At 37.8% G+C, this 26,346-nt stretch overlaps 1 protein-coding gene across 3 annotated transcripts in view, besides 1 other annotated feature; it reads left to right on the top strand.

Moving 5' to 3' along the window:
- The window catches only part of KCNH5 (potassium voltage-gated channel subfamily H member 5), a 345,995-nt gene that overhangs the window by 96,831 nt on the left and 222,818 nt on the right, over positions 1-26,346 (top strand). The gene's annotated exons all lie outside the window — the stretch shown is intronic.
- Positions 23,006-23,175: an enhancer, noted in NCBI's record as "experimental_34948 CRE fragment used in MPRA reporter constructs". NCBI's record gives its function as "activates a minimal promoter by MPRAs in K562 erythroleukemia cells, with activity observed for the introgressed 14:63392256 variant allele {active_cell/tissue: K562}" and the evidence as "EXISTENCE:reporter gene assay evidence [ECO:0000049][PMID:34662402]".

The raw sequence follows: 26,346 nt of genomic DNA, 5'->3' as shown, positions 1-26,346 counted from the left end.
CTATTGATTGGAATAGTTTCAGAAGGAATGGTACCAGTTCCTCCTTATACCTCTGGTAGAATTCGGCTGTGAATCCATCTGGTCCTGGACTCTTTTTGGTTGGTAAGCTATTGATTATTGCCAAAATTTCAGCTCCTGTTATTGGTCTATTCAGAGATTCAACTTCTTCCTGGTTTAGTCTTGGGAGAGTGTATGTGTCAAGGAATTTATCCATTTCTTCTAGATTTTCTAGTTTATTTGCGTAGAGGTGTTTGTAGTATTCTCTGATGGTAGTTTGTATTTCTGTGGGATCGGTGGTGATATCCCCTTTATATGCTGCTATAAAGACACATGCACACATATGTTTATTGCAGCATTATTCAAAATAGCAAAGACTTGGAACCAACCCAAATGTCCAACAATGATAGACTGGATTAAGAAAATGTGGCACATATACACCATGGAATACTATGCAGCCATAAAAAATGATGCGTTCATGTCCTTTGTAGGGACATGGATGAAATTGGAAACCATCATTCTCAGTAAACTATCGCAAGAACAAAAAACCAAACACCGCATATTCTCACTCATAGGTGGGAATTGAACAATGAGATTACATGGACACAGGAAGGGGAACATCACACTCTGGGGACTGTTGTGGGGTGGGGGGAGAGGGGAGGGATAGCATTGGGAGATATACCTAATGCTAGATGACGAGTTAGTGGGTGCAACACACCAGCATGGCACATGTATACGTATGTAACTAACCTGCACAATGTGCATATGTACCCTAAAACTTAAAGTATAATAATAATAAAAATAAATAAATAAATAAATAAAAAAGATTGTACTGAAGGTGTGATTAGCATTATTAGCGCCTCTTGAGCCTTTGGATCATGGTCATCGGTTTTTGTGTGTGTGTGTGTGTGTGTGTCTAAGCTGTCCTTTCTGAGATTCCATGTTGCAGAGGCTTAGATTTTGACATTGATGGCAAAAGTTCTGGGACTCCAAGGGCGTTTGCTGGAACATGAAAGGTTAATATCTTGAGTCTAAGCAGGTAGTTTTCATCATTTAGAATGTCTGAAAGCTATTGAAGCATCAGTGTTGGCAGTTGTTCAGCTTCTGTTTGTCTAATGAACCCTTGTACAGGTATAGGAACAAGAACAGGCAGGCTCTATTTGCTGGTTAGAGCTTGCAGTTAGAGGGAGAGTGAGAATTCCAAGTGCTGTTTGCTCCAGAGGCTTTCAGCAGGAAAATGTCCTTATACACAGAGAGAGATGCTGATGATTAATTAAATGGATACCTACGTATACAAAGTGGTAAGATGTATGGGCAAAAATGTACTTTATAAATTCAGAAGACAACATTTTGTCAGAGGCTGTATTTAGCACCATACTACTTTTAATATTTATACATTTTGCCTTATACTTGAGCATAGTTAGATTAAAAAAGAAAACCTTTTTGTTTTGAAGTAATTATAGATTCATTGGAAGTTGCAAAAATAGTGTGGAGAGGGCCTTTGTTACCTTCACCTAGTTTCCTCCAATAATTACATCTTATATAACTATAGCTCAGTATCAAAATTGACAATGATATAATGTGTGTGTATAGCTCTGTATTGTTTTATCACATGTGCAGGTTTCTTTAATTACAACTGCAATCAAGATACAGAACTGTTCCTTTACCACAAAGCTGTCTTTTATATGTAACCTACCCATTTCCCCCAACTATCCCTATTCCCTGAAAACTACTCATCTGCTCTCCATCTTTATAATTTTGTGATTTTGAGTATGTTATATAAATTAAATTATGTAAAATGTAACCTTTTGAAATGGACTTTCTCCGCTCAGCATAATGCCCCTGAGATCCATCTAAGTTGAATGTATCAGTAATTAATTTGTTCTTTTTTATTGCTGAGTAGTAGTTCATGGTTAGGATGTACTACTGTTTAACTCACCATCTATTGAAGGACATTGTATTTGTTTCCAGATTTTGGCTATTACAAATAAAGCTGCTATGTTAATACCTAGGTGATGGGTTGATATTGCAGCAAACCACCATGGCACACATTTACCCATGTAACAAACCTGCACATCCTGCACATGTACCCTGGAACTGAAAATAAAAAAAAAAACCACACAAAAAACACAAAGCTGCTGTGAACATTTGTGTATAGGTTTTTAATATGGACATTAGTTCTTAGTTCTCTGGGATAAGTGCCCAGGAATGTGATTACTGGGACATGTGATAAGTGTATGTTCAATTTTTAAAGAAATTGCCAAACTATTTTACAGAGTGGATGTACTAGCACAGTTATATTTTTCATAAGAGAATTGTAGGAAAATAAAATCTATGTAGAGTCAAAGGACACAATTATTTACTTTGTTTCTGAGGCCCCGAAGTTGGGAATCATCCTAGATTTCTGTTTTTCTATGTTACATCTATTAATAACATGGCCTGTAGGGTTTACCTTCAAAATACATTTGATTATTTCTCTCTCCTTCCATAGATTACCACCCAAGACCAAGTCACCATCATCTCTGGCCTGAACTTTTGAAGTAACCTCCTATATCTTCCTAATTTTCTTATGCTTGCCCTACAATCTCTATCCCAAAGCTTAAGCAGCCCCTTTAAAAGCAAATCAGATCACACCATTCCTCTGCTCAAATCCCTCCAATGTGTGTGAAATAAAGTCCAGATTCCCTAGCTCATCTTTCAAGGCCTTCCTGATATGGCCCTGCCTACCTCACTCACTTCACTTTCAACCATTCTTCCTTGGCTTATCCTCCTAAGTCCATGCTCACCATCTCATTTTCCCTGAAAACATCAGTCTTAGGCCTGTCTCAGAGTCTTTGTACTTGCTTTCCCATTGCTTATAACACTCCTCTCCTGACCTATGACCCGAATTCATGTGGCTCTCCACGGTATCGCCTCTACAGAAATTCCTTCCAGTGCTACCCTACTATAAAAAAACACCTCAATGCCAACCTGTAGTCTCTACTCTTTAACCTTTCCCTTCATTGTCCCTACCACGATCCGAACCCACGTGTACTTGGTTTTTCTTTTCCTTCAGAATGTAAGCTCCATGAGAGGTAGGCCTCTGTCCGTTTCTTGTATCCCCAGTATCTAAACAATTCTTAAGAGTTTTGTGCTCAATCTTAATTTTTCATATGAATGAATGAAATTGAAGATGTCCCTGATGGTCGTGATGAAGATCTTCTGTCCTTGAATCCATCCCAGTTAGATCTACGATCAAGTACGTGCCAGCAAAATGCAGGGTGTTAGAGCTTTGACCCCGATTCCTTTGTGAAAGGCCTGGTAAGCTCACCTGCATTGTCTTCCTTTGGGGGTGTAGTCATTCCTTTAGCTGAGTTGGTAACCCCGTGTCTTATCGGCCTATCGATATAAGTTCTAAGAAGCAAGTCACTGGAAGCTCCAACAAAATGTTCTCTCACTGCTTCTTACCATCTACCTTCTGAATCTACCTACAGTGGAAATTTTCACGTATATTCAGTTGGGTTTCCGAAACTGTATTTGGTTCAGAGTTGGTTCTATTCCTTCTCTCCTTCATGAATAGCCAATTATACTTGCTAGATCTAAATTTCCATTTCTCCTCATCTCTTCCATTTTCTGAAGTTCCTGTTTTGATTTAGAGATAAAAACCTAGTTTTAAAGTTGGTTGTTTTCTTCTCTGAGTTTCTATTATATTCTTTGAATACCTGAGTAGCAGTTTTCTGTTTGTATACCAATTTTTGACATCTTCTTGCCTTTTGACTTAGGTTTTCCTTTTATGCTTCTGATTAAGTCCAGTTTCTATAGCCAGAGTATTCCAGGGAGATACCTTTAAATTTCCCTTTTAGTCCTTGGGTCCTTGGTAATTTCATGGGATATTTCCTTTGAAAAACCTGAGAATATTATAAAAAGCTGTCTAGATTCATGAAGTGTTATAGTACCTTTGCACAGTTCCAAAATTTGTTAGACCCGAAATGTCAACCAAATTTGGATATTGTAGCTCTTTGTAAATATAGTATCATTTTTTTCCTACAAGAACACCAAGGAAAACAAACAAATGAAAACAAACCACCTGCATTCTTAGAAACCAATATGTGCTAGCAGCCATAGCCAGGGATTTAGCGGTGTGTGTGTGTGTATGTGTGGTGGGGAAGATAGGATAGGGAAGAGGCAGGTAGAAAACAGAAAGGTTCATTTTTTCACTTGTGCCAGGGTTCTAGTCAATCTGTGTGGCTGTCTAAGAAGCACCACTTGTAACCTTATAACTCAAAAACAGAAAAATGTTTTATCAAAAGGTTGATGGAGACACCAACTGCCTATATTCTGTTGAGAAAAATAATCACTACTTGCAAATGATAGACTCTTTTTCTCGAGAAAGTCATCCAAAATTTATATGTCTTTCAGAAAAATTTAGAAGTATGAATGTGGCAACAATCCCGATTCCTAGGTCCTTATGAGCCCTCTTTTCAATGGCCTTTCCTTTCCTAGGCTCTTGCTACCATAATGCTAAGTTGGATGTGGGCTCTGTCTAAGACTACAGTCTCAAAAGTTTTCCTTGTTCATATATCAGACAGATCTTCAAAAAATAGTATAGGCCTTCCCCTAATTCCACTCAACTGAGATTCCTTCCAGATCCCTCCTATGTCAGCAGGGTCCCAGGATACTTTTCTTACCTGCTACCTGGGAATTTCTTAGACTTAAATCCTTTGTTCCTATATTTGCCCAACATGGGAAATCTTCCTGTTCAGATTTCTGAATTGGAAGGGTTGCCTGATGCTTCTCTATATACATCTACCGTCATGCATTCTTTACCTTAAATTTGTCTTCTCTTGGTTTTTTCATACTCTGTCTGCCTTGAGTGACCTCCACTGCTCTGGTGGCAGCCATTACTCCCCAGGGTAGCCACATCCTCCCCATTCCTCTGTATCTGTCCATTCATGAATGAATCCAGCTACTCTGCTGACATTCACAAAATTCACTACCAAAGGGCTTTTGTGAGAGAATATTTTTGCAGCACTTGTAGAAAATAGTATGTATGTACATACGTATGTGTGTGTGTATGTGTATTTAGATCAAGATGTAAGTAATCTCCTTGCTAATTTGCTTGGTAAATACTTAATGATGCCTTCATGAAGTGTTTTCTAATCCATTTTATTTACATAATCTTATTATTGAGCCCCTAATAATATTAGATTTTCTAAGGATTAGGCACACTGACTAATTTTGCTGCTATTCAGAAGGCACCATAGTACGTGGATGATTTATTTTGATGACTATAAAACAAAGGAATGCAATGATGGAATTTTTCTAATAGGATTATACTCTTGTCTTCATATGTTTTTAAAAATCCTCTTCCAAAGATTTATCAAGAAAGCAGTTACTTAGTCCCTTCTTTATTGCTAAATTATCATATAAACTGTATTTTAGTTTAATCCAGCCGTTATAAGGGACTCTACATCTGCATATTTCATTATAATTTTCTAAAAGAAAGAAACATATAAAATAAAAATATGTTTTGAATAACTCTTTGCCATAAGTTCAACCATAATTTTTTTCTCTCTCCATATATATGTTTTAGTACACTGTTAAGTACATTATTAAATATGTATTCAGCATATGTCAAAGGGCTATGAGATTGGAATTTGGGTATTCATTTTCTCTAAAAGCATTTTTCTACTTTTTCTATTGTCTGCTTTGGTAAATTGAGACAGGCTGACCCATGCAGTATATGTCAATGAGAATTTGTCCTGCTGTGATGCAATGCAAACTGAGTCTTATAAAGCAAAACAAACCAAACTAAAAATTATAAATATAAAAATTGCTGGGGTTTAATTGGTAGACAGGAAGCCCTGTCATAATGATGCTAATCTGCAATTTTCAAATAGGATGTAATTGGTAATCACGTAAACATCTAAAAACTTTCTGTAATTGACTAGTATGATCTGTAATGCAGTAGACAAATGGTTTAGCACATCTAAAAGTATAGCAAGACCATCTGCCAGTGGGATGTGTATGACAAGAAATCTGAATCTTCATGTAGGCGGTTAAGTGCAACTGGGAAGCATTTAGTTGCACACTGGTCAATCAGCACCATACAGAGGAGACCAATGCCACACACTGTATTCTCATGTTGATGAGTTTATTCAGCATCCTCTGTGGAATTCAGATAAAAGTCAAGCTGAGGTTATGGGCATTGCCCTGACTTCTCCCCACCGGAAAAGGAAATAAATAGAAGATGGTAAGATCCAGAAATTGGGAGAATATAGAGTAAGTTGGGAGCAAAGGCCCGTGTGACCCTGGAGAGTCTTTACATCTCTCTGAGCTTTATTTATTTTTTTCAATTGTGAAATGCCAAAGTTGAAATCAGTGACTTTTAAGGTCCCTTTCAGGACTAACATTCTATACTTCTAAGGTTCTATTGGTGCATTTATGCCCCTGTCCATGGCATGGAGCTGGTTATTGGAGATGAGGTTAAGATGGAAAGAAAGTGGTGTCACAAAGATGTTAGGGCTTTTTACATATAGTGCATACATTGCTTTATGGAGAATAAGATGTGTTTTCTATAGAAAATGTTCTGTAAAGGTTAAGAGGAAAAGTTGTCAGAGAATAAATATTATGGAGAAAAGAAAATATGCTTTTGGAAAGAGAAGTGTTTTTCCATATAGAAATTAGGCAGCTAGGAAGACTGAAAGGCATGTGTCTCAGGGTAAAGGATCAGGGCCCAGGAAGAGACTGCACACCATGCCCAGTGGGACTTGGACTTGGAGAGGTACTCGACCTAGGTGGATATCCAGACAGGCTTAAAAGTGGGTTGTTGCCCTTTCCTAATATTAGAAAAAAATTATTCTACAAATCTTAATATGCGACTTCAGGTATTTCAGGTATAATATTAAGTTACATGTTAAAATTTGTCTTGGCCTTGTTATTGCGGTGTAGGTAGAAAATGCAGTGTGTACATGCTGATTTTCATTTCTGGCTTTAGTTTTAGCCAGATGGGGAGAGCTTTAAGCCTAATGTTTATTTTGGAAACTGGGTCAATTCTTTGTGTCTGCTTTACCATAGCTTGTAAAGAAAACTTTGTCTTTTTTCTTTTCTTTAATGAGCTGAGTTTCGCATGAGAAAAAACATTTTATGGAGCCCCAAGTTCAGGGTTATAGGCACCTTTTATCATGGTTTAGCAGTCTCAGATGTGTAGTCCAGGGCAGTCTCAGATGTGTAGTCCAGTAGTTAGAAAAAGACTGTGTGATGTACACTTTACTCCCTGATTCTTATTCCAACTAGGGCTTGTGTCTTTTGCAGGAATGTTCTTTTATACCCATCTTTCTTTTCATTCCTAGTCACATTTTCACAAAGCCTCTCAAATTCTGTAAAGGTTGACTTTCCCCAGAAAACAGCATGACATTTTCTTGATAGCCTATTAACTAGCCTGAACGTTTTACAAGGATCTTCATCTCTTGTGTCCTTGTATCACTCAAAATTATTTAATTCATTCAGCCTTGTGCCAGGTGTTCTGGTATACATTGGTATTTAAGAAACACTAGATACTTTTGAGCCCTCAATAACCTTTTAATGTGGTAAGAGGGTCAAACAAGAAAATCACTGATCCATCTGTCTCTCCCTTACTCTCTCCATCCCCATCTCAATGTCCACCTCTGCCTTCATCCTCGTCTCATCTGTTCTTATACTATGAATTAAGAGGGAATAAAGAAGCTGGACTTGTGAGAAGAGGATCTGTCTTTGTCCTGTTCATCATTGTGTATTTAGCACAAAGCATTATCTCCTACTTGATGGTTGTGCCCATTGAACACATGTTGAATGAATTAATGAATGAATAAAAATGTTTGCCTAGTTCAGCCTGAGGGAGCCCAGGAGGATTTCTAGGAGAAAGTGACTCTTGAGCTCAGAATACAAAATAAGTAGGTAAATGAGGCAGGACTTAGCTATTTTCCAGGTATAGAGAACATAGTATATGCAAAAATGTAGGCATCAAATAGCTTGGCCCTTTCGGGGAACTCCATGCATTTCACTTTGGCTTGAGTGGAAAGTAGATGTGAATGGAAAGAAATGAAAGAACCAAGATGTCAAAAAGCTTTCCATAGCTTCACAAGGAGTTTGCCTTTTATCCTAAAGGTTGTGGGATAAATAAGAAAAATTTGATTCTTTATTGTGGACAATGAATTGGAGGAGATAAAGGCTACTGGCAGAGAAACCAGTTAGGAGACTGTTGCAGCAATCCAGGAAGACATAAATTGAGGTGGTAAATATATGGAGGACAGTATAGATTTAGAGTTGGCAAACTTTTTTTTTTTCTGTAAATGGGCAGATAGTGACTATCTTAGGCTTTGTGAGCCATATGGTCTCTGTTGCAAACTACTCACCTCTGCTTTTGTAGTGCTAAAACAGCCATAAACAATACGTAAACAGATGAGTGTGGCTATGTTCCAATACAACTTTAAGCAGGTGGCAGATCAGATTTGGCACGTGGTCTGTGGTTTCATGGTTTGTGAAAAGACTGTGGACTTTGGAGTCAGACAAATGAATCTAGGTTCAATTTTTTGCATCATAATTTATAAGAATTTATATCAGTTATGTAAACCATCATTTGTAAAATGGAGATAATAGTCTCTACTTTGCAGAGTTATTTTTGATACTCCAGAATAGATTGTACGTAAGCTTCCTGAAAAAATTTTTTTTTTGAGGCAGATTTTTGCTCTTGCCACCCAGACTGTAGTGCAATGGTGTGATCTCAGCTCACTGCAGCCTCCGCCTCCTGGGTTCAAATGATTGTCCTGCCTCAGCCTCCCAAGTAACTGGGGTTACGGGCATGCACCACCACGTCTGGCTAATTTTGTAATTTTAGTAGAGTTGGGGGTTTCACCACGTTGGTCAGGCTGGTCTCGAACTCCTGGCCTCAGGTGATCCACCCGCCTTGGCCTCCCAAAGTGCTGAGATTACAGGCATGAGCCACCATGCCCAGCCAAGCTTCCTGAAACTTTAAAAAATGTTTTTATGGGTGAATTAATGAATATGTGGGGTATTTTAGAAGGACGAGTTCAAAAGCACTTGTAGATTTCTAGCAAATTCAGCTGAATGTATGATGAAGCTTTTTTCTAAAATAGGAAAAAGGTGCAGTTATTACTGGAGGAAAGTGGTTCTTTTTCCTGCAGGTTATTCTGATGGAAATGTTCATTAGGTGGTTAGAAATGTGGTTCTGGTTTCCAGAGCTATGAGGCACAGAGAGATCTCTTTGGGAATAACAATGTATAGAAAGTAATCATGTCAAGGAAGTGTACGGTGCAGTCAGCATAAAGCTGGCCAAGAGTAGACTCTGAAGAAGGAGAGCCACAGAGGGGCTGAGAAGAGAACCCAGTGAGGTAGAATGGAAGCATGACTCTGGAAGGAGAGTCTGTTGCTAACAAAGGATGAGAGAGCTTTAAGAAGGAAGGGAGAACAACAGGACCACTGAGAGAGGAAGTCAGAAGAGATCTGGGAGGCCTTAGGAGGTCATCAGTGACTTTATCTGACTTGTTTGATTGGCTAGTTGAGGGGAGAGAGCCACATGGGGAACTCATGGGGTCCAAACCGTTTTTTCTCCTATATGAAGGAAAATAATGTATTATTAGCCATTAACTTCATGGAGGTAGATTATGCTGATGCAGTAATTTTCACAGCCAATATGTTTTTCTAAATCAAATTTCAAATTCAACAAAATATACTTGTTCGATTATTAGATGCATAACATAGACATAGAATTTCTCTTTTGTGTTATAAAACGAAAGGTAGCATTGGCTTAGAAGTTTGTATGAAATTGAACTTTCTTAGAACAGACGTTTTAGTCAGAGGAGAATTTTATTTACTTATTTGGTGACTTTCCAATGAATTTAATATTAATTCCTATGAGAAAATATTTTTCAGGACACACTGTCACCTGGTAGGTGAAGTGATACTCTGGTGTAGAACAGACAGTGGGGATGTAGATGATTCTCACATATGTGATATCCATCAATTGACATCTGATTTTAATTTTGCTTAATATGTAATACTTAAATGTTTTTTCACAGGCCGAAAGACTCACAAATTCATAGATGAATATATTTAGAACTTATTAAAATAAATGTCATACCAAAGGCCTTTAGGCATGGATTTAAGGATTTCTTTGATATGGCCAGAGAGGGGATTTTATTTGGAGTAATTTCTAAGCCAGCTCCTAAGTGACTTCTTCTTACCTACTTGTTTAATATTTTCATATGTTGTGACAACTGAGTTAGCCCTCCCTGGAAGGTTAGGTACCAGGCACATGGTGGTAGCTTTAGGCTGAGTGTGTAGGTAAGGAGATCTTTATGGGGTGAGAACTATATTTAAGTGGACTCTCAGGAAATACTGGAGGCTTTAAAAATTCCCTTTGAAGCTGGCTCTGTAGCTACCCTTTTTAGACTCTATCTCCTTTAAAGTTGAGCTTATTTTTAACAACACCCCCCCACCAGATCTTAAGCTGTGAAGGTCTAATTTGGGACCATTACTCATTTAAAGTGTCCTGTAAGGGAAAGACATTTAAATTCATGCCCCTATTTAGGCATCAGCAAAGGAGGCAGGTCTGGTATTGACTCTTCTGATGAGACTTCGGTATGGGAATAGTAGACCTCGGGAACTTTTCTTAGACTGGGCTGTTGAGTTTTCCTGTTGGTTTCCTTAGAAAGGGTCCAAACGGTCCCTTCATAGGTCTGTTTCCCCAACTTCTTTCCCTTATGAGGACCCAGCTAGAGAATAGCAGACCCTCCTCCCCAGGCACACACTGACACTCCAAATTCCTTCATCCTGTGCCCTTTTGCTGCCTTAACAACTCCATCTGGATCTATTTGTCTCTTTTTCTGTTCCAGGGTTGCTGAGCACTGGCTGGAGTCAACTAGACAGCCTTGTGAACAGCTGCCCCTAAAATGAATGTTTAGCAATCTTACGAATCTTCTTCCTGTAACATTTTGCTGAGCAACAATTCCTGTACAATTTGCACACGTTCTCCTCCTTTCCGAAACCTATGACCACTCATCTTCATTGCAGCAGATGGCCTTCCTTTTACTTCTGTGAAAAAGAAATGTGTTGCAGATGTGCATTCCTTTACACTCCTGACTCTCCCCTTAGGAAGGTGGGCTAGGGGTGGCCAAGGGTGCAAACCATTCAGGGCCTTATAGGACAGGATAGTAGCCCTTACTTTGAGCCAGATGGGAAGACTTTTGAGGGTTTCAGACCAGATTGACTTGATTTGTCTTATGTCTTACAAATACCAATCCAGCTGCTGTGTGGAAAATAGACTGTACAGGGTCAAAAATGAAAGAAGACAGACAGGTCAAGGAGAGAGATGATGATGGTGGTGGTTAGGATTGGTTAGATTCCAGACATACGGTAAGACCAGCAAAACATGAGGGTTTGAGAGAAAGAGAGTCAGGATTTAAGGCTTTCAGGGCAAGCAACTGCTCTTAAGTTAGCGATGGATGGTCATTTGTTGTGTCCAGTGGGCAGTCACATATACGATTCTAGCATTCTGTGAAGTGGCCCCGGATTTGTACATAGATTTGTGCTGTAGCTTGATTATTTTTCCCTTCTAATTGTTTGTCCTTCCTTCTCCTCCTCTTTCTTCATCTTTTTTTTTTTTTTTTTTTTTGAGATGGAGTCTCACTCTGTTGCCCAGGCTGGAGTGCAATGGTGTGATCTCCACTCACCCCAACCTCTGCCTCCTGGGTTCAAGTGATTGTCCTGCCTCAGCCTCCTGAGTAGCTGGGATTACAGGCATGTGCCACCACGCCTGGCTAATGTTGTTTTTGGATTTTTAGTAAAGACGGGGTTTCACCCTGTTGGTCAGGCAGGTCTTGAACTCCTGACCTCGTGATCTGCCTGCCTTGGCCGCCCAAAGTGCTAGGATTACAGGTGTGAGCCACCGTGCCTGGCCTTTTTTTTTTTTTTTTTTTTTGAGGCAGGGTCTCGCTCTATCACCAAGGCTGAAGTGCAGTGGCGTGAGCTCAGCTCACTGCAACCTCCTCCTCCCAGGTTGAAGCAATTCTCATGTCTCAGCCTCCCAAGTAGCTGGGACTACAGGCATGCACCACCATGCCCGGCTGATTTTTGTATTTTTTGGTAAAGACAGGGTTCACCATGTTGCCTAGGCTGGTCTTGAAATCCTGACCTCAAGTGATCCGCCTGCCTTGGCCTTCCAAAGTGCTGGGATTACAGGTGTGAGCCACTGCACCTGAGCTTGTTTTTCTTTCTTCTGCATTGTCCATCTCTCTCTCTCTCTACTGGCTCTTTCTCTTCAGCTGATAAACATGCTCATGTCTTTTTAATCCTAAGCTAATATACATATGTGAATAAAACACTTGACCTGGACCTTGCATTCTCTTTGCCTTATTACCCAGCAATTCTTCCCTTTTAAAGCTTTCTAAAGCATGTGTCTTCACTTCCTTTTCTTCATTTACTCCCTATTGAAAATGGGCCTCTTCTCCTATACTGCCTCTCAGAGTACATTTGCTAGATTTCATAGACACTTTTTCATGCATACGGAAGTACTTCTTCTTTGGCTTCTTTAATATTTCTCTCTTTCTGGCTCTCCCCTGACCTCTCTTGCTATTTCTTCTCTGTTTGTTTTGCTGGATCATGTTACTGCATTGCTGTCGTAAATATTGAAAACTGTGATATTGGGAACAAATTATTGAAAGATCAAGGGCAGCTCTCCTGATAGGCTGAGCAGTTTCTCCCACAAAAAGTGACTTCATGGGAGCCAGCCGACTCTCAGATATTTTGCTCAATGGTCCACCATTAGAAATCCTGCTGCATGTGTTCTTGACTCCAGAAGGCCCCTTGAAGCTGCCATTTTGTCCTCTAAAGGATGTAAGTTCCTCATCTCTGTACCAGATTGGACTGAGTTTTAAACTGGCACAGTGTCTCAATGAAGAGAAAATAATTGTTGAGATTTCAGAGGAGGGTGGAGAAGACGTCTGGAGCATGGGCTGCCGCTTGGCAGGCAGGGGTGGGAAGGAGCTAAGGTAATGATGCCAAGAGGAAGAAGAGAAGCCTTTTATTTTTTCCTAGCTCTGTGGGAAAAATAACCAGGGATTATTAATTCACACCACCTTTTCCCTCGTTTACTGCCATGAGACCTTTTTCCTCCAGTCTGTCTGAAGTGTCCCTATTACTTTATACTTCATTATTTCTTCATCATGGTCTCTAATTATATTCTTTAATTCTTTCTTTATGTAATTATTGCTTGTCTTTCTAACTAAAATGGAGCCACAAAGGCAGGGAACTTGTCTTTCTAGTTCCACTCTGTATCCCTAGCATAACAGGAGTGTAGCAGGTGCTCAGTAAATCCTCCTTGAAGAGATAAATGTATTTTGATCTCCATATTTGTAAAGTTGTAAATTCAAAACCATACTAGTTCTCCAGACCTAAATTCTTCAGTCTTGGGTTTAAATTTTCATACAGTGAAACATAGGTGAATGAACATGTGACTGATTTCATTTTTCTGTACAGAGCTAATAACTTAGTTTAGGACCTCTTCCCTCATCCCCCCACTTTTCCACCTTTCATAGTACGCTTGACTGCCACATCTGTGCTATGGCTGTACTGGCCACTCTGTGTCTATCATGTTGTAGAGTTCTGGATGGGAAGCTGGATATACTTCTTTGCTGCCTTTGATTTTCCCTTCAACCTATTTTGGGTTTCTCTTGTTACCTCCTATAGTTCCTTTTATTCTGCCCTCTTATGTTTCACTGCCACCCACCCCCATGTTTTCTGGGAAAAGAACTAAGATTTTAAAGTGAAAACAAAACACAACAAGAAAGACGACAAAAAAACCATTTGCTATCTCGAGGGCCTGGCACTTGCAAAGGAAATCTATGCTTTTAAGATTATTGTTTTGGCTATGGGCTTTAAAAAAGTCTAATTTGAAACTCAAAGCTAAGCTGCTTTCTTTGTTCTCAGCTGTTACCACACTCCTCTTGAAAAGTGACTGCCACTGTTTCAGTGAGAGGATAGCAAAAGGGTCATTAGGAAGAGCTAGGAATTAGAGGGACTGAAAACACTCTGCACCTGTGTGTCCCTCATCCTCGATCATGCTGAGGCCTGGCATAAATGCACTTGCCATACTTCCAATCTTTCTTTGTTCATTGGATACAGAAGAGAACAACCTGGGAATTTTAATGGTTTGGAAACAACTGTCTGTACTATGGGCAGCATTTGATTATGAAATTTGGATAGTCTCTTCTATAGAGGGCAACACAAGGTCAGGACTGCTTCAAGTTAGATGAGAAGCACAAATATCATTTTTGGTGTTTGCTAAAGAAACAAAACTATATAAGTGTGTTTTAAAGAAATTTGCGCCTGTAGTCTCAGCTACTAGGGAGGCTGACGCAGAAGAATTGCTTGAACCCGGGAGGCGGAGGTTGCAGTGAGATCATGCCACTGCACTCCAGCCTGGGTGACAGAGTGAGACTCTATCTCAAAAAAAAAAAAAGAAAGAAAGAAAGAAAGAAATCTGCATTTGAAAAAAGTGTGTCCATTTACTCACAGGGAGATTTCAGTAGCTTCTGATGTTTGATCAGAGCCTTTCTGTGCTGCGTAATTTGAACTGCTAATTTATTCAGTCATTAGAGAGAAGTTTCCAGAGAAAAAGTGGTGATTCTACTGGGATTTGGGTAATGGCTAATACCAGGGAAGACAGAGCTGAGATAAACCGGAAGGAACACAGGGCCCACAGATGAAGGGAAGGAAATCTCAAATATTTTCCACGTCTCTGGTTCTCCTGCCTTCTTTTTCATTTAATCTGTGTGCTAATTCAGATTATCTGACTGTAGTTTTTTAAATTTAATTTTTAGATCGAGGTAATACATACATGTAGTTTAAAGAACCAAATAGCGCTATAAGGTTTATTTTGAAAAATGGAAATTCCTTGATCTTCATGCCTTTAGACATTTCCCAGAGATGACTTTCAAATCATTTTCATTTTTTTGGTGGCATTTATCTTTTTGTTTTTACATGATTATTGGAGAGAATTTTCAGTTTTAGTCATTGTCTGTTGACTTCCATCTTTGGAAGATGAAAATAAAATTATATAATTCTCTTTCCTGTCCTATGTCTCTTAACTACCACTACACACACACACATAAACACACACACATACACACACACACACACATAATATATATGTGCATATATATGCATTTTCCAATTTTCTAAATCTTCTCTATATTTAGATCATAATTTTGATATAATCAATAGCTGTTTTCATTATTATGACTAGGTATATGCTATTTACAACTGAGTCATATGTTATACTGTGATTATTTTCCTGTACAACATTTGATTTCCCCTAGTGTAGTCATTATCACAATTTTTTTTCTTAGTTTCTTATGTTGCTTCTTTTAAATTTATTACCAAATTCTCTTCCATTCTGTAACTCTAACCTCATCATGCTCACATTAGGCGGTTATAACTTTTTATCTCTGGAGGGCTCTTTCTTTGAGCCTTCTGACTTTCTCTAGTTGCACTATCCCAGGCTTGACTTAAAGCCCTCAGCCTGTTGTCTCCCATTAGCCCTGATCTCCAGGAGTCCCTTTGCCTTTCTCTTTTGTGGACCCATTGTTTCCTATATCTGTTTTGAATGAACACCTCTTATAGTAGCCTCTAGAGAAAGTATAGATAAAAGAATTTTTTGAGATTATGCGTGTTTTAAAATGTCTTTCATTTATCCTTACACTTAACTGATAGCTTGTCTGGGTAGAGATTTAAAGGTTAGAAATAATTTTATGAAAATTTTGGTGCACTGTTCTTTTGTCTTTGAACTTCTAATGGAACTGTTCAGAGGACTCCATTTGAGCCTTGATTCTTATAAATGTTATGTTTTTCTTTCTGTTTCCACTCTGGAAACATTTAGAATCTTTTTTTAGTTCCCAGTATTGTGAGGTTACTATGACAAGGTATCTTTCTATGGATTCGTTTTCATCCCAATGGGTATGTGTAATCATTTGGAAATGCCTATTTTTCACTACTGGGATATTTTCTTGAGTTATTTCATTCACAAGTTACTCCTGGTTTTATCTTTTTCCCTTTCTTGAAATTCTTATTATTTGGCTATTGGATCTCCTGGATTGGTTTTTTAGTTTTTTTTTTTTTTTTAATCTCATTTCTACAGTTTTCTATGATTTTATCTTTTTTACTCTATGGTCTAGAAGTTTTCGTGTATTCCAATTTCTAATCCTTCTTTTGAGTTTTTGTTTCTGCTTGCCTACGTTAATTTCCAAGAGCTCTTGCCTTTTCTCTGTGTTCCTTCTCATAGCATTGTGTTTTCACTTCATGAGTGCAAAATCTCCTCTTCTCTTTCTGAGGGTATAAGAAAGTTTATGTGTAGTTTTCTTATCCCCACATAGTCTGTTTCTATCAAGATGATGTTTTGTTTGTTGGTTTTGGTCTCTGCTTCTCATGGTGGAGGCTTTATGCAGATGCCTCGGAATCCTGGCTGTCTGTTTTTGGCTGATTTGTGGCTGTGGACTTTATGTAGGGAGATCTAATTGGGTTATTTTGTGGAAAATCCTCAACACCAGTATTTTGGGGTCATTTCTGTTAGGCTGCCAATTCCCTCAGGGAGGAATTTTCTAGTTTCCAGCCTGGAGAACATAGCCCTTGCACTGATCTCTCTGGAAGCTGAATGGAGAATAGAGCTGAGGGTTTGACACTCAGTGTGTAAGCTTTCACATAACCCCTGATTTCAGTGTGAAACCCCTACTTTCTGCTCTTCCTTCATTGCAGGGATCCTCTCTAGTCTGCTGAAGTGTGAAAAGGGAAATTGACTGGCTCTGTGGAATTAGGGAAGGCATCTGGAGGGGTAGGTGTCCATCTGTTTCTTAAACAGACTTTCAATAAATCCTCTAGTTTTAGCCCCACCTTTGCTCCTTCACTTCCCAAAGTACTTGGTGGTGACAATTCCTGGGATATTTAGTGGCTCTGTACTGCATATCAGATTGTTAATTATCATTCCTTTCTGCTGGTTTAAGATCCAGCTTTCTTGGATCTGATGAGTTAGTTACTACTTGTCCTATGCTTTCCAGCTTCCAAACTTTTGTTGCTTTTGTCTGTTCTACTGTTCTGTTTGTTCTTGTGGCTTTATGGCTTTACGCAATCCATTTACTGTTATTTTGTGGAGTTTTGAGAGGAAACAGAGGTATATACATGTCGTCAACCCTCTATCTCTGGCTGAGTCTCTCTGCTTCTTTGCATAGGTCTGTTAGTTCTGCTGGTTCATGCTCCTCTGTCATGTGTTTATCATCCGGATTTATGTAGCTCTTGATCAAAACTTTCCCATTGCTATTTACCATTTGTCTCAAGCTACTTGTCACTAGAGAATATCCCAACCTTGCTAAATCCATCAGAGGTTCATTGCTATAATATCTGTCTATTTAACCTGTAGGTCTACTTACTGTCTGCTTGGCTTCCCAGCTGTTCTGCATGGTCTCTGTTTTTTGGAAGTCCTCTGCTGTTATATACAACCTCTGCTCGATCATTTTCTCTGTACTCATTAGATCCAGGCCATCCCTGATACTACATCATTCCTGAAGCCCATCTCCGGCAGGTATCTCTCTCCAATCCCTTAAATATATGGATTAGCACTGTAAAAATGATCAAGCACTGTGTCATTATGTAGGTTGAGTCAAGGGTCTAAACTTTTCACATAGGGTTAATACTTTAGAGTTAAAGGAAGGCATGAAATGTACCAGCATCATGGATAAAGTTGGACCTAAATATCTTGCATTTCTTAAAGTCAGGTTTCTATTATACTCATTGGACTAGAAGTGGACAGCAATAGAGAAGTGAGATGAAAAATCACTCTCATTCAGTACTGTGAACTAAATTTAAAAAAATGAGGGCTGAATTCCTGTTCTATTAGATTTTAGTAAACAGCATTCTGTAGTGCACAGGGAATTCTTCACAATGCTGTGTGAATTTTGTTGGTAAACCTGTTACAGGTGTTTTTCAGTTTGTGTTTGGGCTAAAATATTGTCAAGTGGCATACTTGCCTGAGGCAGTCAGTGTAGGATCAGAACATATGTGCCTTTGATGAAAGCTGCTTTTCAGTTTAAATCACTGGGATGCTTGTGAAGCTGTATCTTATGAACATTGTTATATAAACATTGCCTTTAAAATCTTTGGCTTGAGTCTCAAGTAAATAGGTTTATACAGTATGATCTGCTGGCTGAGCAGCAATGAAAATAAAATGTCTCCCTGTTGTGGTACGTGGAATTTTTCTGTTGTCAGGTAGAACTTTGCCTACAGAAATTTAAAGTGAGGCAAAGCTGACTAATGAAAATCATCATGGTTAGTGGTGTTAAAAACAAAGCTTCTACACTGTGGTGGGAATGTAAATTAGTTCAGCAACTGTGGAGAGCATTTTGGGGATTTCTGAAAGAACTTAAAACAGAGTTAATATTCAACCCAGAAATCCCATTATTTGGTATATAGCCAAAGGAAAAGAGATCATTATAACAAAAAGACACATGTGCCTGTATGTTCATAGCTGTGCTATTTACAATAACAAAGACATGGAATCAACCTAGGTGTCCATCGATGGTGGACTGGATTAAAAAGTGTGCTACATATACACCACGGAATACTATGCAGCCACAAAAAAGAATGAAATCATGTCTTTTGCAGCAACTTGGATGGAGCTGGAGGCTGTGATCCTAAGTGAATTACTGCAGAAACAGAAAACTAAATTCTGCATGGGAGCTAAACATTGAGCACCCATGGACATAAACATGGGAATAATAGACACTGTGGATTACTAGAGGGGGAGGGAGTGGGGCATGGGTTGTAAAACTAGATATTGGATACTATGCTCACTACCTGGGTACAATATACCCATGTAACAAATCTACACGTATCTTCCCTGTATGTAAGATAAAAGTTGAAAAAGAAAGAATAAGAAAAATAAGAGTTTTTATTTTACCTTCAGAAAAAAAGAGAGGTTCAAAAATATCATAATTAAAGTCTATGTCCTCATTATAAATTGAACAACCAGAGTGTCTGAGATAAGAGTGAGGAAGGGAGAAAATAGTGCAGGACGAAGTCAGAAAGGTAATGAGACCAGACCATGAAGGGCCCTGGTGACCATTGTTCTGTGGATGGAGACTTCTAGAGCATTCTGAGTAGAAAAATGACATGATATGACATATTTTAACAGTATCACTCTGACTGTTGTGTTGAACATAAACCCTAGGGTTACAAGGTGGGATGGAGAAAGATAATTCAGGGAGGCTATTGCAATCATTTTAGTGAAAGACGATGTTGGTTTGGGCCAAGATAGTAACAATGGAGGTGGCAGGAAGTGGCGAGACTCTGGTTATGTTTTGAAAATAGAGCCAACAAGATTTGCTGACAGACTAGATGCGGGGGGTGGTTGTTAAAATCAGAGAGAAATCAGAGATGACTCCAAGAGTTTTTTTGGTTTATATATCTCTTAAGGATGGGAAATAATTTGGGGAAAACAGAGGAGAGAGATGTGCTAGAATTAAGAGCTAAGTTTTGATAAGTCATGTTAAGTTTGAGACGCTGCATAGACACGTAAGTACATATGTCTCGTAGGCAGTCCCATAGACAAATCTGGAGTTCAGGGGAGAGGTCCTGGCTGGACACATACATTCTGGAATTGTTGATACGGAGCTGATATTTAAAGTCATGAGACTGGTTGAACCCTCCTTGATATTGAATGTGAATAGAGAAGAGGTCTAAGCACTAAACTCTGGCGCATTGCAATATGTAGTGGTCAGTGAGATGAGGTGAAACCAGCAAAAAGACTGAGAATGAAGTGAGTTAGGAAGAAATCTAGGAGTGAGGTATGCTGTAGGTCAGCTGAGGAAAGTGTTTCAAGGAGGGATGAGTGAGCAGCCATGGGAAGTTCCTCTTACAGGTCAATCAAGACAAAATCTGGGAATTGATCATTGGATTTTGCAATCTTAGGGTCACTGGTGACCTTTAGCAGATTTGATGTAATCTTGGGGGCAAACGCTCTTACAAACCCCTAAACCTCAGTTACCGCATCGGTAAAATGGGGTAGTAATATTATTACGTATCTTATAGGATTGTTGTGAAAACCCGATAAATTAATTCATATAAAATGCTCCAAATAATGCCTGGCTCATTGTAAATGCTAAATAAATATTTGCTGTTGTTTCTAGAAACCTCTATTCAGGTGCTCATTAATTGTCAGTCATAATCTTTTGGTAAGGTCCTGCAACTAATTAAGAATCTACCTAACTGAATGAGCATCCAGTCTTCCCTGCTAGGCTATTATTGAAGATCTTTTTCAGCACCTCACCAAAGTATAGATAAATCTGAAAAACATGTTAACTCTATTAAGCAAGAAATGAGGTTATCACCGCATGACTTCTGCAGGATCATGTGCTGACTCCTCTTATTTCTGGATGCTTATCCATTCTAAATCTTGTCCAGGAATGCTTAGTTCACTGGTCTCCTATTGGAATTCACCATATTTTCATATTCTTATTTGAAAACTACAGTTGGGTTTGCCTTATTTCTAGTCTTTTACCAACTCTTTTTCAAACATAGCTGGCAGTGGCATAGTTATCTCTCTGGCACGTTCTTCACAGTGTCGGGATGAAATCTGATGGGGCTAGAACACATGAACTCATTTAGAGCTATTAATGTTTTGTTTTCTTCACAACCCATCATTTTTAAATTGCAGTAAAATATATGTAACATAAATTTTACTATCTTAACAATTTTTAAGGATACAGTTCAGTGGCATTAAATACATTCATAATGTTGTACATCCTTAACCCCTATATAGCCTCATAACTCTTGCAAAACAAAAACTCTTTACCCATGAAACAATAGCTTCCATTCCCCTTTTCTTCAGCCCCTGGAGACCACCATCCGACTTTCTGTCTCTATGAATTTGAGTATTTTAGGTGCTTCATAGAAGTAGAATAAAAGTATTTGTATTTTTGTGACTGAATTATTTCACTTAGCATAGTGTCCTCAAGATTTCTCCATTTTGTAGCATATGTCAAATTTTTCCTTTTGTAAGGGTGAACAATATTCCTTTGTATGTATATACCACATTTTGTTCATGCATGCATCTGTTGATGGACACTTGGTTGCTTCCACATTAGCTACTGTAAATAATGCTCCTATAGACATGGGTGTCTAAATATCTCCTTGAGACCTTGCTTTCAATTCTTTTGGATATCTATCCAGAAGTGAAATTGCTGGATCATATGGTAGTTTTATTTGTAATATTTTGAGGAACCACCACAGTGTGTTCCACAGTGCTTGTACCATTTCACATTCCCACCAACAGTGCACAAGGGTTTCAGTTTCTCCACATCCCTGTCAACACTTGTTATTTTCTGCAAGTAGCCATCTTAATGGTGTGAGGTAGTATCTCATTGTAGTTTTGATTTGCATTTCCCTAATGATTATTGATGTTGGACATCTGTTCATGTGACTATTGGCTTTTTGTATATGTTCTTTGAAGAAGGGTCTATTCAAGTTCTTTGCCCTTTATTGAATCTGATTGTTTTCTTCTTGTTGAGCTTTTGTTTTCTTTTTAAATGTTTGCCTTTTATTGGGTTTATATCATCTCTCAGCAGTGCTTATAATCCACATTCTGCTCGTTATAATCTGTCATTCTGTGTGAAATGGGGACAGGCAGAGCAGGAGTCAAGGACTTGTGAGTCCTCTGCATCATTCATCAACACTGACCCATAACCAAAGAAGCAGATGCAGTGGACTGAATTGTGTCTCCCTCAATTTCATGTGTTAAATCCCAACCCTTCATGTGACTGTATGAGATACAGGGCCTTTAAGAAGGTAATTAAGATTAAATGGGTTAAATGAGAGTGGAGCCCTGATCCAGTGGAGCTGGTCTCCTCATAAGAAGAGGGAGAGACAACAGGACTCTCTTCCACCATATGAAGACACAGTGAGAAGCTGGCTGTCTGCAAGCTAGGAAGAGGGCCCTCACCAGAGCCTGACCATGCTGGCACCCTGATCTCAGACTTCATGCCTCCAAAACTGTGAAAAATAAATTTCTGTTGTTCAAGCCACTCAGTCTTTTTGTTATGGTAGCTCAAATGGACTAAGACACCAAGGCTCTTCTTTCTTTCTCCTTTTTGTTGTCCTTAGCATTTTATGTATGCGTGTGCATGTGTGTGTGTGCGTGTGTGTGCATGTGCACAAGCATTACTTCTTTGGGGACTTTAGATTTCCTAAGTTGCATGGAAAAAATTCTCATTTATGCTTTGAGATACCGGCAGCTTTTTAAACTAAATCCAACATAGTGGTTTGAGCTGATGACCACCTAAAAGTTTCAAGAACTTATCAGAGCAACTACGAAGGTATACTTCTAGCTTATCAAATATCTTAGCACTAATTTCTTTAATTCTCTAGAGCTGATGCAAGCCTATCCTTCTTGTCTTCCTTGCATCATTTATTTTTCTATCTCCCCTTATTTTCCTTCTATACCATCCACTTGCAATATTTTCTGCTGAAACATTTTGAAATGCTTATTGTATGTTACTTTAGCATATATGAAGCATTCGTACAATATTTATCAATATATGGCCTTTGTCATTCTTAAAGCTTGTGCAAGTCTATAATGGTGAGAAGAATACCTTGTCTATGCCTCTAATTTATACATTGACAAAAAATGCCAGCACTGTAAGGACTTTTATCTGATTTTTCCAAGTCGTGTTTTTCTTAATGTGGGAATTTCTTTCTTCTTTAATTTTATGTCAGAGAGCACTCAACCATTTAACTATTATTTATAGTCTGTGGAAATCCATAATTGGGAATCTAACTTCAGAGTACACAATTATGTCTACAAGGCTTGATTACAAGCTTTATTGTGGTCTTATGATCCAGACTGTGGATCATACACATGTGGGCACAAAGGACAATGGCTGCTTATTGGGAATGTAAAAACTAAAAGAAATCAGGTATATGTGCCAGGGGTGCTGAGATGGGGTTGGTTAATATTTTATTTTTCTGTCTTTACCTGTGAAATGCAGAACGAGTATGTATCAAAATCTGTATACCTATATAACATATGTAAGTATATTTTAGGCTGACAAAAATTTGATGCTGAAGAATATTCATTATAACACTCAAGAGGAAAGGATAAATATAATAGTATACTTTGGGAGAATTTTGAAAGAGGAGAAGGAAACATTTAGATGAAGAGTTAAATATGCAAGCTACAGTTACACAAAAGAAAGACCATATGGTTTAATGCCATACATTAGTTTGTTTTAAACCTTTTGTAGTTTATTTTCATTTTAAAATGAATGTGTGCTTTAATTAGTGTTGAAGTGGGCTAGCAAAACATATGTCTTTTAGTTAAACAGTAATTTATATTGTATTCTCTCCCTTAGTCTTAGTGATAGATCTAAATTCTGGTTAACCAACAAAATGTGGTCTACAGGCACCAGGGCAAACAATCAATTTCTTGTTTGTTTATTTTTATGTTTTCACAGAACTATGACAAATAAAAATTTTATATATATATAAAATGTGCAGATTGATGTCTTGAAATATGTATATTCTTAAGTGATTATCCCAATGAAGCTAATTAACATATCCACCACCTCACAGTTACCTTTTATGTTTATGTGTGTGGTAAGAATACTTAAGATCTACTTTCTTAGCAAATTTCAAGTATACACTATTATTGACTATAGTCGCCATGCTATACATTAGGTCTTCAGAACTTATTCATCTTATCACTGAAAGTTCATACCCTTTGATCAAATCTCCCCATTTCCCCCACTTCTAAGTACCTGGTAACTACCTTTCTACTCTGATTCTATGAGTTCAACTTTTTCAGATTCCACTTGTAAGTGAGATCATGCATTGTCTTTCTGTGCCTGGCTTGTTTCACTTAACATAATGTCCTCCAGGTTCATCCATGTTATTGCAAATGGCAGCAGGATTTTCTTTTTTTCAAGGCTTAATAATACTTAAAAATATATAGACATTTTCTTTATTCATTCATCTGTTGATGGTCACTAGGTTGATTCCATATCTTGGCTATTGTAAATAATGCTGCAATGAACAAAGGAGTGCAACTACCTCTTCAAAATACTGATTTCATGTCTTTTCGATAAGTACCCAGAAGTGGGATTGCTGGATTATATGGTGGTTCTATTTTTAATTTTTTGAGGAACCTCCATACGGTTTTCCATAATGGCTGTACTAATTTACATTCCCACCAACAGTGTATAAGTGGTCCCTTTTCTTCATATCATTGTGAACAATTGCTATCTTTTGACTTTTTGATAATAGGCATCCTATCATGTGTGAGGTGACATCTCATTGTGGTTTTGACTTGCATTTCCTAATGACTAATGATGTTGAGTACCTTCTCATATGCTTCTTGGCCATTCGTATGTCTTCTTTTTAGAAATGACTATTCAGGTCCTTTGCCCATTTTAAAGTCGGGTTATTTGTTTCTTTGCTTTTGAGTTGTATGGGTTCCTTATATATTTTGGATATTAACCTCTTATCAGATTAGTGGTTTGCAAATATTTCCTCCCATTCTGTAGGTCGCCTTTTCATTTTGATAATTGTTTCTTTTGCTGTGCAGAAACTATTTTGTTTGATGTGGTCCCACGTGTTTGTTTTTACTTTTGTTGCTTGTACTTTTGGTGTCATATCAAAAAAATCATTGCCAAGACCAATTTTAAGGAAATTTCCCTCCATGTTTTCTTCTAGGACTTTTATGATTTCAATTCTTATGTTCAAGTATTTAATCCATTTTGAGTGGATTTTTGGATATGATGTGAGATGAAGTCCCAATTTTATTCTTTTGTATGCAGATAACTAGTTTTCCCAAAACAATTTATTGAAGATACTGTTCTTTCCCCATTGTGTACTCTTGGCATCTTTGCTGAAGATTAGTTGACTTTACAGGTGTGGGTTTATTTTTGGATTCTCTGTCCTGTTCCATTGGTCTACATGTTTGTTTTAATGCCAGTACCATACTATTCTGATTATTGAAGCTTTGTAATATAATTTGAAATCAGAGAGAATAATGCCTCTAGCTTTGTATTTTTTGCACAAGATTGCTTTAGCTATTCAGGGTCTTTTATGGGTTACATGAATTTTATAATTGTTTTTCTATTTTTCTGAAAAATGTCATTGGAATCTTGATAGGAATTGCATTGAATCTGATGTGTAGATTCCTTTGGTGGGTATTTTGACAATATTAATTCTTTCAATCTGTGAACATGGGATGTCTTTCCATTTATTTGTGTCTTCTTCAATTTCTTTCACCACTGTTTTATAGTTTACAGTGTACAGATTTTTCACTTCCATAGTTAAATTTATTACTAAGTATTTTATTCTCCTTGATGCTATTGTGAATGGGATTGCTTTCTTAATCTCTGTTTTGGATAATTCATTGTTAGTGTATAGAAACACAACTGATTTTTGTTTGTTGATAACATATACTGCAACTGTACTGAATTTGTTTTAGCTTTAACAGCTTTGTCATGAAGTCTTTATGATTATTCTATATATAAGATATATGTTTTTCTGTATATAAGATTTATGGTTTTCTATATATAAGGTCTGCAAACAGAGACACTTTTACTGTTTCCTTTCTAAATTGGATGTTATTTACTTATTTTGCCTAATTGCTCTAAGACTTCAGGTACTATATTGAATAGAAGTGGTGAGAATGGGCATTCTTGTTTTTCTGATCTTACGGAAAAGGCTTTAAGCTTTTCACCGTTGAATATAATGTTAGCTGTGGGCTTGCCATATATAGCCTTTATTGAGTTGAGGTATATTCTTCCTATACCTAATGTGTTGAGAGTTTTTATCAATAAATATGTCAAATGTTTTTTCTGCATCTACTGAGATGGTCATGAAAATTTTATTCTTCATTCTGTTAATGTGGTGTAACATATTTTTTGGTTTGTGCATGTTGAACCATCCTGGCATCCTAGAAATAGATTCAGCTTGATCATGGCGTATAGTGTATGATCCTTTTAATATGCTGTTGAATTCAGTTTGCTAGTATTTTGTTGATGGTTTTTGCATCTATGTTCATCAGGGATATTAGATACAACCAACACTTAACATGTTGAAAATGTGCTTTGGTTTTATTCTATTACACTTTGCTTAACTGAGAACAAAGAATTTATAGGTGTTAATTTAACTATTAATAATTAAGTCACATGCTTATTTGGAATATTTCATATATATGCATGTCTACTATATAATGTAAATTTATGTTTGCATACATATTTGTGTCTTCAGTTCCTTGACATATCTTTGTGCATGTAGATGGAT

The sequence above is a fragment of the Homo sapiens genome, chromosome 14 (genome assembly GCF_000001405.40).
Source record: "Homo sapiens chromosome 14, GRCh38.p14 Primary Assembly".
NCBI classification, from domain to species: Eukaryota; Metazoa; Chordata; class Mammalia; order Primates; family Hominidae; genus Homo; species Homo sapiens.
The sequence above is the reverse complement of the archived record's forward strand: the minus strand, read 5'-3'. Positions and strand labels throughout refer to the sequence as shown.